This window comes from Homo sapiens, chromosome 2, assembly GCF_000001405.40.
Source record: "Homo sapiens chromosome 2, GRCh38.p14 Primary Assembly".
NCBI classification, from domain to species: domain Eukaryota; kingdom Metazoa; phylum Chordata; class Mammalia; order Primates; family Hominidae; genus Homo; species Homo sapiens.
The window spans coordinates 171444680-171458563 of record NC_000002.12 but is presented as its reverse complement, the minus strand read 5'-3'; the positions used below and the strand labels follow the sequence as shown (position 1 = coordinate 171458563).

Below are 13884 nucleotides of genomic sequence, written 5' to 3'. Positions count from 1 at the left end.
AAAACATTTGGATGACTATAATTAATAACTATTTATATGACCACTTAATTTTTTTAAGGTGAAAAAATACTATAGAGTAGCCATACCTGTGATTTTAATATTACAAGGAATGCCAAAAGGAGCCTCTCCTACAGTTCCAGTAGTCCCACCCCATCTGCATGCACACCCTAAGTCAAGTTTCTGTTGCATGAACTAAAAACAAAACAAAACAAAAATGGTGGCTTTAGCACCTATTTATTTGATATCTGGAGAGAACAAAAATAAAATTCACATGTATATGACAAAGAAAATGTCTTTTTCCAATGGCCTTTCTGTTTATCTTCCCCACCCCTGCTTTAAAGGTTACTTGTCTTCTACATTTCTACAGTTTTTTAGAGCCAAAATCTACAGAAGTGCCTTACTCTAAAAGCATCTCACTAAAAAAAAAAATCATACTTTAGTCGAAAACTCATGCTAATAGTAACATGACAAATTTCAGTTTTCTCTACCTGTTCAGCGATGGTTTGGAAGCTATAGAGTCTGACCAGTCCTGAGCTGTACATCACAATCAGTATTCCATGAGACAAGGTAGCATCTGTAACGTTCCCAAAAATCTGGCGGGGGGAAAGACAGATATCACCTGAGAAAAGACTGGAAGTCCAATCCTCTGAATGTTCACAGTGGTTTGTACTCTTGCTTAATATTCATGTCACTATGATAACACTGCCGCCTAGCATTAAAACCTCATTATAATTTATCACCTTGAGGCTAGGGTGTTATTAGGAGTGAACAGTAAGCCACTGGATTCTCATACTGGAGCACTAATGGAAGTGCGGCACACATCCCTCAGAATAATGCACCAGCATTCATCTGCTTCATAGCATTGTCAATATCTATTAATAACAAATTCCATTCCTCATAGACACTGGCATACACCAAGGCCATGTCGTTCTAAATGAATATTTAATCTACTATTCATACTCTTCCAAGGATCAATTCTTTATGCTAAAATGTTCTTTATAAAATAGAGACAAATTTTTAGTTAATTAGAGGTGCCCAGCCCCTGGATAGTCTTTCATGCATGGTAAGTGAAAGATGTTCTTCAATCCCAAGTAACAATATTTAAAACCAAATCTCTCTAATTGCATATTTTTCTATTATTCTTATTTTTATACAATTCAGCAGCTTAATCAAAAACAAACTACTTAAATGAAGATGTCCTTGTCCAATTACCTTGGAAATACAGGAATAGAGGAAGATGTCCAATTACCTTGGACATACAGGAATAAATAGAAACAGTTTATTACTTTGCCACATGTTCATTTCTGTTGTAGACTGTAATAAGCAAACATAAGTACTTAACCTACAGGCACAGAGAGAACAATTAAATTATGAGTTGTATTTTTTGTCATCTCTTAGAAGGATAAGTATTGTTTACTCTGACATTGACTAGTTCATGACTTTTTAATTCACTGATCCTAGTTTCCCACTTTGAAAAAAGACATCTTGTCACTCCCCTTGAAAACCAGCACAAGACAAGGATGTCCACTCTCACCATTCCTATTCAACAGTGTGTTGGAAATTCTGGCCAGAGCCATCAGGCAAGAGAAACAAATAAAAGGCATTCAAATAGGAAGAAAGGAAGTCAAACTATCCCTCTTTTCAAACGACATGATCCTGTATCTAGAAAACCCCATTGTCTAATCCAAAAGCTTCTTAAACTGATAAGCAACATCAGCAAAGTCTCAGGATACAAAATCAATATGCAAAAATTGCTAGCATTCCTATACAACAACCACAGTCAAGCCAAGAGTTAAATAATGAACAAACTCTCATTCACAGTTGTCCTAAAAAGAATAAAATACCTAGGAATACAGCTAACAGAGGAAGTGAAAGATCTCTACAAGGAGATCTACAAAGATGACACAAACAAATGGAAAAACACTCCATGTTCATGGTTAGGAAGAATCAATAGCATTAAAATGGCCATATTGGCCAAAGCAATTTATATATTTAATGCTATTCCCATTAAACTACCACTGATGTTCTTCACAGAACTAGAAAAAACTATTTTAGAATTCCTATGGAACCAAAACAGAGGCTGAATTAGCCAAGGCAATCCTAAGCAAAAAGAACAAAGCTGGAGACATCATGCTATCTGACTTCAAACTATACTACAGGGCTACAGTAACCAAAACAGCATGGTACTGGTACAAGAACAGAAACATAAACCAAGAGAGAACCCAGAAATATTAATAAGACTGCACACCTGTAACTATCTGATCTTCGACAAACTTGACAAAAACAAGCAATGGGGAAAGGATTCCCTGTGGTGCTGGGATAACTGGCTAGCCATATGCAGAAAATTGAAACTCGACCCCTTCCTTACACCATACGCAAAAATTAACTCAAGATGGATTAAAGACTTAAATCTAAAACCCAAAACTATAAAAACCCTGGAAGATAACCTAGGCAATATCATTCTGGACATAGGCATGGGCAAAGATTTCATGATGAAAACACCAAAAGCAATTGCAACAGAAGCAAAAATTGACAAATAGGATCTACTTAAACTAAAGAGCTTCTGCACAGCAAAAGAAACCATCAACAGAGTCAACAGACATCCTACAGTATGGAAGAACATTTTTGCAATCCATACCTCTGACAAAGGTCTAATATCCAGAATCTAAAAGGAACTTCAACAAATTTACAAGAAAAAAAAACAACCCCATTAAAAAGTGGGCAAAGGACATGAACAGATACTTCTAAAAAGATGGCATACATGTGGCCAACAAGCACATGAAAAAAAGCTCAACATCACTGATCATTAGAGAAATGCAAATCAAAACCACAATGAGGTACCATTTCACACCAGTCAGAATGGATATTATTAAAAAGTCAAAAAATAACAGATGCTGGCAAGGTTGTGGAGAAAAGGAAACACTTATACACTGTTTGTGTCAATGGAAATTAGTCTGACCATTATGGAAGACAGTGTGGTGGTTCCTCAAAGACCTAAAGACAGAAATACCATTTAACCCTGCAATCCCATTACTGGGTATATATCCAAAGGGATATAAATCCTTCTATTATAAATATAAAAGACACATGCACATATACGTTCACTGCAGCACTGTTCACAAGAGCAAAGACATGGAACCAACCTAAATGTCCATCAGTGATAGACTGGGTAACGAAAATGTTGTACATATACACCAGGGAATACTATGCAGCCACAAAAAGAACAAGATCATGTCCTTTGCAGGGACGTGGATGGAGCCAGAGGCCATTAACCTTAGCAAACTAAAACAGGAACAGAAAACCAAATACTCCATGTTCTCACTTGTAAGTGGGAGTTAAATGATGAGAACACATGGAATGATGAGAATACATGGACACATAGAGGGGAACAACACACACTCGGGCCTATCGGAGGGTGGAGGGTGGAGGGTGGGAGGAGGGAAAGGATCAGGAAAAATAACTAATAGATATTAGGCTTAAACCTGAGGAATGAAATAATCTGTACAACAAACCCCCATGACACATGTTTATCTATATAACAAACCTGCACATAATGCACATGTACCCCTGAACTTAGAAGTTAAAAAAAAAAGAAAATATATAAAGAAAAGCTTTAAAAAAAGAAAGAAAAAGTAAAAGAAGAAAAAGAGGACTTGTGCAATTCAAACTTTTTTTTTTTTTGAGATGGAGTTTTGCTCTGTTGCCGTGGCACAATCCTGGCTCACTGCAATATCTACCTCCTAGGTTCAAGCGATTCTCCCACCTCAGCCTCCCGAGTAGCTGGGACTACAGGTGTGCACTACCACCCGTGGCTAATTTTTATATTTTTAGTAGAGACGGGGCTTCACCATGTTGGCCAGGCTGGTATTGATCTCCTAACCTCAAATGACCGGCCTGCCTCAGCCTCCCAAAGTGCTGAAATTACAGGTGTGAGCCACTGCACCAGGCCAATTCAAACATATTTTAAAATAATGAGTGCTGGCCAGGCGCGGTGGCTTATGCCTGTAATCCCAGCACTTTGGGAGGCTGAGGTGAGCAGATCACGAAGTCAGGAGATCGAGACCATCCTGGCTAACACAGTGAAACCCCGTCTCTACTAAAAATACAAAAAATTAGCCGGGTGTGGTGGCAGGCGCCTGTAGTCCCAGCTACTCGGGAGGCTGAGGCAGAAGAATTGTTTGAACCCAGGAGGCAGAGATTGCAGTGGGCAGAGATTGCGCCACTGCACTGCAGCCTGGGTGACAGAGCAAGACTCTGTCTCAAAAAAAAAAAAAATTAATAATAATAATAATGACTGCTATAATAAAGTAGCCAATCTGTTTTAATTCTAGATCCTCTACTTGCCACCTTTAGGATTTAGGTAGCTGCTTTTTATTTTTTATTTTAATTTTTTAGAGACAGAGTCTAACTCTGTCACCCAGGCTGGAGTGTAGTGGTGCAATCATAATTCATCAAAGCCTTGAATTCCTGGGCTCAAACCATTCTCCTGCCTCAGCCTTCTGAGTAGCTGGGACTGCTGCTTAACTTAATTAAATATATACGTTACAATGTTGTAAAATATTCAAAGTGCATGGCACAAAATAAGCAATGAACGGTAACTAATATTACTCTTTAGCCATTATGCAGTTTAGTATATAATGCTTACATAATGTAAAATTTTAATACATTCAACTTGTTTGCTTATAAAGATCAGTAGATCCTCAAGATACTGTCCTCTACAATACTTCAGGTGCTGAATTAAAGACCAGTAGGAGAGCTCAATAAATAACTATGCACCAAGAATAAGTAACTTTTTTTTTTAAAGTAGAATCCTATTCATTCTTTTACTCAAAGGAAATTTGCTCCTTCTTTCCTCCCATGTAACTGCTCCACAAGTCAAGAACAAATGGGAACAACAATAAAACCCAAAACTGAATGAATTGGAAAATTTACATATTTAAATATAAGGCTTGTTATATATCATAAAGCAAGTTTTAGACCTATATCTTGCAATTAAAATGAAATATTTTGTTGCAACTTTTCACCTTCCTTTAATGATCTTTTTAACAAGCTTTGGAATGTTCCTTCTGGAAAAAAAAAACCTTACTCATTTTGTAATTTCATAACATAGTAGTTTGTTAATGACCACAGGTATCCAATATGATCCACCTGAGAGGCATAAAAACATGCAGAAAGATGAAGGGATATTAGGCAAATGTTCTCATGTATTTTGTTACAAAATAAACCAAGTTAGTGAACTTTTTATAGTGAGGGGAGCATTTCCAATCAAATATCTCATAAATAATTAAATAATGACATTACAACTTATTGTCAATAAAATATTGCAATTAAATAAGAAATGAGTTCTTACCTTTTTGTTGATCTCTAGAATCCCTACAAGTGAAAAAGGTAGAACTCGGAACACTGCAAGGTACAGCAAAACATGTTGTTGAATGCCTGCCTAGAAGGAAAGACTACAATTACACGCAGCTCTCAAAAGTACTTCAGAAACACACTGTTTTCATTAGTTGAAAAAATCCATCTGTTCTAGCATGTAGTTATACAGACATTTTCATATTATGAAAACAACCATCTATCTAGATTGCAAAGTTACTTAAATGGAAGGGCAACATATTCAAAACATGTCCACTAAAGCTTCAGCCCTTCAGACACACATGCGCATATATACAGACAAAAATCCATAAAAGTAAACATTTCTTAGCAATAAAATACCATGCATTTATATTTTGAATTGGAGTTTGAACAATAAAGAGCCTAATAAAAAGATAATGTAGTTATCGTGCTCATATCATTTGAAAGCTGCTGGATCAGGTAGCTCACGCCTATAATTCCAGCCCTTTGGGAGGCTAAGGCAGGAGGATCGCTTGAGGCTAGGAGTCTGAGACCAGCCTGGCCACTCACTGTAGAAATAGTGAGACCTCGTTTATACAAAAAATAAAAAAATTAGCTGGACATGGTGGCGCATGCCTGTAGTCCCAGCTACTCAGGAGGGTGACGTGAGAGGAGCACTTCAGCCCGGGAGTTTGAAGCTGCAGTGAACTCTGATCAAGCCATTGCACTCCAGCCTGGGCATCAGACATGCTGTCTCTAAATAAATAAATATATAATGAAAGTAGTGTTGTGCTGACTCCTTTACAGGAAATTAGAAATAATATCATCAATGAAAGCTTGAGTGACTCTTCTGCTTGAAAAGGATAGCCTCCTTACTTTGAAGAACAAGGTCCAATTTCTTGCCACTGTGAAATGTAAAACAATCTCTTGTACTTCTCCAATACAGTTTTGAAGGGAATTTCTTAAATTTGTGTTAGGCAAAGCTGTCTGCCCCATCACAGCCAGTCTCTGCTTCAATAGAACTTTTAAGGCTGGAAACACCAATCAAAACTGCTATAACTAAAAGTTAGAAAACAAATAAACAGCAAACAAAAAAGATTGTAATGCTTAAAGCCCAAAAGATTCTCCCTTCCAAAGGGATAAATTTTTATTGAACTAATATCTTCAAGGTAAATCAGACTCCTTCTGTGTTCCTTAAACCCAAAGGAAAAGTACAGTTTATATACCCCAACTAAGAGCTACTACTTGTTGGCTGGAGACTGTAGGAAAACAGTCCAGAATATAGAAATACTGACAAGATTTTATTAACATTATCAGGTGATGGTAAATGTAAAACATTAACATATGATAACGTATAGAATTAAACTTAAAAAAATTCTTAGCCAGGAGTGGTGGTTCACGCCTGTAAATCCCAGGACTTTGGGAGGTCAAGAGATCGAGACCATGCTGGCCAACATGGTGAAACCCCGTCTCTAGTAAAAATACAAAAATTAGCTGGGCCTGGTGGTGCACGCCTGTAGTCCCAGCTACTCAGGAGGCTGAGTCAGGAGAATTGCTTGAACCTGGGAGGCAGAGGATGCAGTGAGCTGAGAGCTCACCACGACACTCTAGCCTGGCAACAAAGCGAGACTCCGTCTCAAAACAAAACAAAACAAAACAAAAATTCTTGCTCTTTAGCAATTTAAATTATTAAAAAGGTACATCAGACAAGACACTTTAGAATTCTCAAAGTAGCAAAATGTTTTGCTTTTTTATACTATCCCACTTTTCTGAATTTTCCTTTACCAAAGTAAAAGCAAGGTAGTAAGAGTATAAAGAGAGAAGTATTACTAAGAGAGAGATAGCATCTCTCTTTCTTAGATGTCATACTAAATAAATCAGGAAAAGGGTAAGGAGATTCCAATAAAAGGCATGCAGTTAAGTTATTAATGTGACTGGGCAGGATTAGTAAAGGGTAGGAAAACATTCAGATAACCATGATAAAAAGTAAGTAGAAGTAGCCAACAAATAGTTTGCTTGGCTTCAGGGGCATACAGAAAAAGTAGACAAGAGAGATGAGGGAGGAATGAAAAGCAGAGTTCACAGACCCAGCATGTATGGGAATACACTGGAGGGTTGACAAGGAAATGCTTGATGTAGTTATCTAAACAAGGTAAAATTAAAGGAACTACTTAACTTTTTTTTTTTTTTAATGCTAGAGTTCTATATAAACTTCACCTGCCAGTCCATATTACAGAAATTTCAAGAAGGGGCAGCTTACTACAGTGCATAAGAGCAGGGACTCTAGAGCTAAACTGCCTGAGTTTGAGCCAAGGTTACCAACACTATGATGCTGGATAAGTTACTTAGCTTCTCTGGGGCTCAGAATCCTCACCTGTAAAATGGGATGATAAAAGTATCTACTGAAAGGAGTGTGCTGAAGATCAAATTAGTAAATACAGGTAAAGAACTCAGATCAGTGCCTGCCTGTTTTGCAATCAAGGACACTAGTGAGAAACAGCTGAAGTAGTTCAAATTAAAAATGAGAAAGAACTACAACAGACTCTGCCAAGGGGAGACACAAAATAAGTATTTGCTTTTTCTAGGTGTCCCGGTGTATAAAGAAACAGAAAACCTCTAAAAGCAGTCTATATCTATTTTTTAAGTGCTCAATAAATGCTTTCCATAGTATTTCCCCATAAGTCACCAATAGAAACAAAAAGTTTCTTGATATAAATTTCCAGACTTTATAAAATCTAGTAAATCCTGGGTAATTCTTTAAGAGAAAAATCTCTTTAAATAGCACGCTTCAGAAAAAAAAAATCTACCTATCAACTTTTCTTTTTTAAAATATTTTTATTATTATTTTATTTCAATAGGTTTTTGAGGAACAGGTGGTGTTGGGTCACATGAGTAAGTTCTTTAGTGGTGATTTCTCAGATTTTGGTGCACATATCACCTGAGTGGTATACACTATACCCAATGTGTAGTGTTTCATCCCTCACCCACCTCCCACCCTTTCACCCGAGTCTCCAGAGTAAATTGTATCATTCTTATGCCTTTGCATCCTCAAGGCTTAGCTCTCACTTATGAGTGAGAAAATACAATGTCTGGTTTTCCATTTCTTAGTTACTTCACTTAGAATAATGGTCTCCGATCCCATCCAGGTTGCCGTGAATCCTATCTTTTACAGCATGCTTCAGAAATAAAAGATCATTAGATTTTTCATAACAAATCTGCAGACAAATTCCTATGAAAAAGAGTCTTCATTTTATTGAATGTTTAAATATGTATACCTGCCGGGCCACTGCTGAGCCTCTGTTCTGAGCTGACTTAACTGCAATGACTTCTTGAGGAGTGTCCCAGCTCAAGTATCTTTTAAAAGAATGAAGAGAAGTTTATTTATTTGGGTCAGTTTCCTTATACTTAAAACCAAAATATTATATTTTATAAGTAAACTATTTTTTAGTTATTTAAATTATAAAAGCAAAGTGATCTATTTTAAAAAATAAATAGCTAAAAAAATTTCCTCTATATCCCCATATGGACATATCCCTATTTAAATACATACATAATTTTAATCTTTCTAGAGCATTGGTGAATAAAAATTGTTTTCGATCTAAGAGTATTCAAAACTTAGAAAACAAAATAATCATTTCTACTTTAAAATGGAAGTATAAAAAGCACTAAAAATGTTACTTTCACACATTCCATGAACATATTCACTCCATTTACATCTAATTTATAAAACTAATAGTTAAAATAACAGTTCTTGGATTGTACACAGCAGACAATTTAACTGAAACAGACTAGCCTTCAGGAAAATCTACCATAAAGAGCATCTTACATAGAAAATACTATTTGTAGAATACAGGGAATTTTTTTTTTTAAGTTTATTTAAACTATTACAGGTTAGTTACTTATTAGGGATACAAAGATAAATGACAGCTGGGCACGATGGCTCACGCCTGTAATCCCAGAACTTTAGGAGGCTGAGGTGGGCAGATCACTTGAGGTCAGGAGTTTGAGACCAGCCTGGCCAACATAGGGAAACCTCAGCTCTACCAAAAATACAAAAAGTAGCTGGGCATGGGGTGCACACCCAAAATCCCAGCTACTGGGAAGGCTGAGTCAGGAGAATCGCTTGAACCTGGTAGGTGGAGGTTGCAGTAAGCAGAGATCACGCCACTGCACTCCAGCCTGGGAGACAGAGCAAGACCTTGTCTTAAAAAAGAAAAAAAAAAGACAAATGATAGAGGGTCTCTATACTCAGACCTCTAAATGTAGTCATGAGGGGAGAAAAAGAAAATAGGTTTATTAATTGAGATCTGGTAATGGATTAGAAAACTGACAGGGAAAAAAGGCTTGAAATTTCATGGGCCACAGGTTTCAAATTTTTAAAATAAAATCTTGAATAATAAATTCACAGTAAATACCTGAATTTGCAATAAGGTGCAAGATATATTTTCTCAAGGATTTTTCCCGTAGTTGCTGATATACGAAGTAGCCAATTATGAGCAGTCAGTGCTATGAGTGAGGACTTATAATCTGATGAATTGGGAAGTATATCTCCCTAAAAAAAAAAAGAGAGATATAAAAATGAAACTGCTTGGCCATGAACAATTTGCAGTAATCAATGTCCAAAGAAAATAGCTAAATATTCAAATGCCAAATAAATAAACCACAAAAGAAAGATTAAATGCCCAACTAGAGAATTAAGACAAGGAAAGATAAGATTGTGGGTAATTATTTCATCATCACTTATTGAGTTTATTCACATAAAGCACTTAAACATGGCCTGAAATAATTTATTATTATGAATTAATTATTTTATTAAGTATTCACAAATGTTAGTCATAATAACAGTAGAAGACAATGATGCTACCTCTGTGATAACAATAACAACAATAACAGCTCTTAAAATCATGTATATAGCATAGCGATTAAGAGTCCTCTGCTATTAGCATGGTGGTGAGTGCCTGGAGTCCCAACTACTTAGGAGGCTGAGGCAAGAGGATCGCTTGAGACTGGGAGGTCAAGGCTGCAGTGAGTGATGACTATGCCACTGCACTCCAGCCTGGGTGACAGAGTGAGATCCCGTCTCAAAAAAAAAGGGTTCTCTGCTAGAATAGACATTCATATTGCCCCCTTTTTCCTTTACCACAGGACTTGTTTCCTTTAGATGGAAGTCAAAACTGGCAAAATGCAAATTACTTCATTATTCACTGTGGTTCTAACCTAAGCTCAAATGAAAAGCTAGAAACCAATGAAGACAGCCAAAGTACAGAAAATGGACCTGGTTTGAAAGATGACCTATGTCACCAGTGAATTATCCTAGAAAAGGGAGAGGATAGCTGCATGGGCACTCCTGTCACTGAGGAGCCACCACAAGGTGGAAGTCTAAGGCAGGAAGAAAAAGAGAAGCAAAGTTTTCTTCTTTAATTTGTAGACTAAAAGGGCATCGTGGTCCCCACCTGTAATCCCAGCACTTTGAGAGAGTGAGGCAGAAGGATTACCTGAGCCCAGGAGTTCGATATCAGCCTAGGCAACACAGCAAGACTCTGTTTCTAGATAAAAAGGAAAAAAAGAAGTGGCTAGGTGCGGTGGCTCACGCCTGTAATCCCAGCACTTTGGGAGGCTGAGGTGGCTGGATCACGATGTCAGGAGATCGAGACCAGCCTGGCCAACATGGCGAAACCCCATCTCTACTAAAAAAAATACAAAAATTAGCTGGGCGTTGCGGTGCTTGCCTATAATCCCAGCTACTTGGGAGGCTGAGGCAGGAGAATCACTTGAACCCGGGAGGTGGAGGTTGCGGTGAGCTGAGATCGTGCCACTGCACTCCAGCCTGGCGACAGAAGACTCCATCTCAAAAAAGAAAAAAAGAAAGAAAGAAAGTAAAGAGAGGCTGAAATTAATCTAGTATCTGCTTAGGCCAAAAAGTGAATAGAAAAGAATGAAGACATAGTTATTTTATATATGCTCCCTAAAAATTTGTCTTGCCTTTCAAATGTTAAGGAAAAAAATAATTTTTGTTTGTATGCTAGTGTTTTTTTTTTGTATGACTACATATAATTGAATAACACATTATACACCACTAAATACTAAAACAATACAAAAAACTCACAATTATAAATTTCAGTAAGAAATAACATAACTATAATGACATATACCCAAAACAAACCCAGGAAAACAGTGTTCCTTAATTTGGTCAGAAATCTCTACGAAGCTGAAATTAACTGTCCGAGAAAAAACTGAAAGTAGAGTTCTTGATAGTAAAGACAATACATTTCAGTCTTGACCCTTCATATTGGTCACACCATTGTCCCTTGATCTCAAATAGTTTTTTGAAATTAGGCTTTTTTGTTATATTTTTCATGCTCAAAGATCTGAAACATCTTATTAAAATTTCATAATATTTTCTATTTAACATTTTCTCAATATGTCTAAAAGAGTGAGATTAAAGGATTGATAAAAAATGTTACATTCACAATGCAATTTTAAAAATCTTATGTTCTCATTTGTTTTAAATTCTCAACTTAGCAGTCTCCACACTGTTATCCTGCTCTTTTCCCCTGGAAACCTAAAAAGAACCCTGAGATATTAAGACTGTAAATAAATCTCTTATTTAGAGAATTTCCTGAATGTTTATCACTTAGATTCATTATTTTTCTTAGTTGACTCTCCTAGATTTTTTTTTTTTCTTTTGAGACAGAGTCTTGCTCTGTCACCCAGGCTGGAGTGCAGTGGCATGATCTCTGCTCACTGCAACCTCTGCCTCCCAGGTTCAAGCGATTCTCCTGCCTCAGCCTCCCGAGTATCTGGGATTACAGGTGCGTGCCACCACACCTGGCTAATTTTTGTATTTTTAGTAGAGACGGGGTTTCACTATGTTGGTCAGGCTGGTCTTGAACACCCGATCTCGTGATCTGCCCGCCTCGGCCTCCCAAAGTGCTGGGATTACAGGCGTGAGCCACCGCACCTGGCCACTCTCCTAGATATTTCTTATAAGAGGGTTGGAATGAATCATTTTGCTAAAATTAATTCCTTTGTTAGGTAAAGGATTAAACCTCTCCATATTTAAAAGAAGAGAAAACAAACAATGTTCCTTTCGTAAGTATAATCAAGTTTCTTAAAATACTGGCTATAAGATTTTTTTTTTAAGTTTATTAACCCTTGAAGTCTTACACTGGATTCAGGGCAATGATATAAATGCATTTATTCTACAACGTCTTATCTAAATGTTGTTTCATGAAGATTTAAAAGTTTTTGGCTGAGCGTGGTGACTCACACTTATAATCCCAGCACTTTGGGAGGCCAAGGCGGGCAGATCACTTGAGCCCAGGAGTTCAAGACTAGCCTAGGCAACATGACAAAACCCCACCTCTACAAAAAATACAAAAATTAGCTGGGTTTGTTGGTGCACACCTGTAGTCCCAGCTACTTAGGAGGCCAAGGTGGAAGGATCACCTGAGCCCAGGAGGTAGAGGCTGCAGTGAGCTGTGATTGTGCCACTGGACTCCAGCTTAGGCAACAGAGTGAGACCCTGTCTTAAAAAAATATATTAAAAAAATTTAAGTTTTAAAAAATATACTATTTATAACTTGCCTATCAAAATAATTTGAAGCAGCAAATATAATACGTTCGAAATATTTTCTTGAACAAAAAGCTGTAATTCACACAGAGTCTTGGAAAAGATGGACACTAACTTAAAAGTAGTTTCATATCAGTGTGTTAATAACAATTCAAAATGCTCCTGGTTTTTCTTAAGAGAAAATCTTGCTGCAGTTGAAATGAGAATAAAATGTTTAAAAATAAGTGAGAATACGGACCGGGCATGGTGGCTTATGCCTGTAATCCCAGCACTTTGGGAGTCCAAGGAGGGTGGATCACTTGAGGTCAAGAGTTCGAGACCAGCCTGGCCAACATGGTGAAACCCCGTGTCTACTAAAAATACAAAAATTAGTGGGGCATGGTGCTGGGTGCCTGTAGTCCCAGCTACTTGGGAGGCTGAGGCAGGAGAATTGCTTGAGCCTGGGAGGCAGAGGTTGCAGTGAGTGGAGATCACGCCACTGCACTGCAGCCTGGGCAACAAAGAGAGACCGTCTCAAAAAAAAAAAATAGTGAGAATAGGAATTAGGTTACTAAATTTTTGGTGTTTTATACTAGTGTATTAAAAACTTTCTCAATTAAGAAATCTGTCGTCTTCCCCCATACTCCCCAATGAAAATGGATCAAAAAGCTTTAAATTGCTAAAGGCACAACAGTTACTTTTAGCTTTCAATAAGGAGTTGAAGAAGAAAACATAGGTTTAAAAGCTTTCTAATTTTTAAATAGGAGCCTTCAGTGAACAGACAATAAGTATTCAGAGAAAAAGAAAGCAGCAGCTCCAGAAAACTAAAACTTTATGTAAAAATGATAGCCTGAAAAAAAAATTAACAATAAATTTAGCGTACAGCCTCTTATCCTTTAAAAATTATTTTTGGTCACATATTATGAGTTCCGTTTTTCCTAAAGGACAGCCAATCAGATTCAAAGACCTGATTAATCTGTTGTAGTATTTCCTAAGTGCAT

At 37.1% G+C, this 13884-nt stretch overlaps 1 protein-coding gene across 13 annotated transcripts in view, besides 1 other annotated feature; it reads right to left on the bottom strand.

Annotated features, from left to right (window-relative positions):
- DCAF17 (DDB1 and CUL4 associated factor 17) overlaps positions 1 to 13884 on the bottom strand; it is a 50827-nt gene that overhangs the window by 26489 nt on the left and 10454 nt on the right. For 8 of the 13 annotated variants that reach the window (NR_028482.2, XM_011511881.2, XM_047445911.1 and 5 more), the window contains exons 4-7: positions 9747 to 9883; positions 8607 to 8685; positions 5351 to 5440; positions 489 to 593 (exon numbers count right to left, since the gene is read on the bottom strand). Coding sequence is in view for 11 of the 13 variants with exons in the window: in XM_011511881.2 (XP_011510183.1) it covers positions 489 to 593; positions 5351 to 5440; positions 8607 to 8685; positions 9747 to 9883 (411 nt within the window). In the remaining 2 variants the exon portion in view is untranslated. Of the gene's footprint in view, positions 1 to 86; positions 193 to 488; positions 594 to 5350; positions 5441 to 8606; positions 8686 to 9746; positions 9884 to 13884 lie in introns of all 13 variants that reach the window. The other 5 variants (XR_007082530.1, NM_025000.4, NM_001164821.2 and 2 more) reach the window with 1 other exon arrangement.
- Positions 11102 to 11306: a silencer, noted in NCBI's record as "fragment chr2:172303768-172303972 (GRCh37/hg19 assembly coordinates)". NCBI's record gives its function as "represses an EF-1alpha promoter that drives an FKBP-Casp9 reporter gene in an ReSE screen in K562 erythroleukemia cells {active_cell/tissue: K562}" and the evidence as "EXISTENCE:reporter gene assay evidence [ECO:0000049][PMID:32094911]".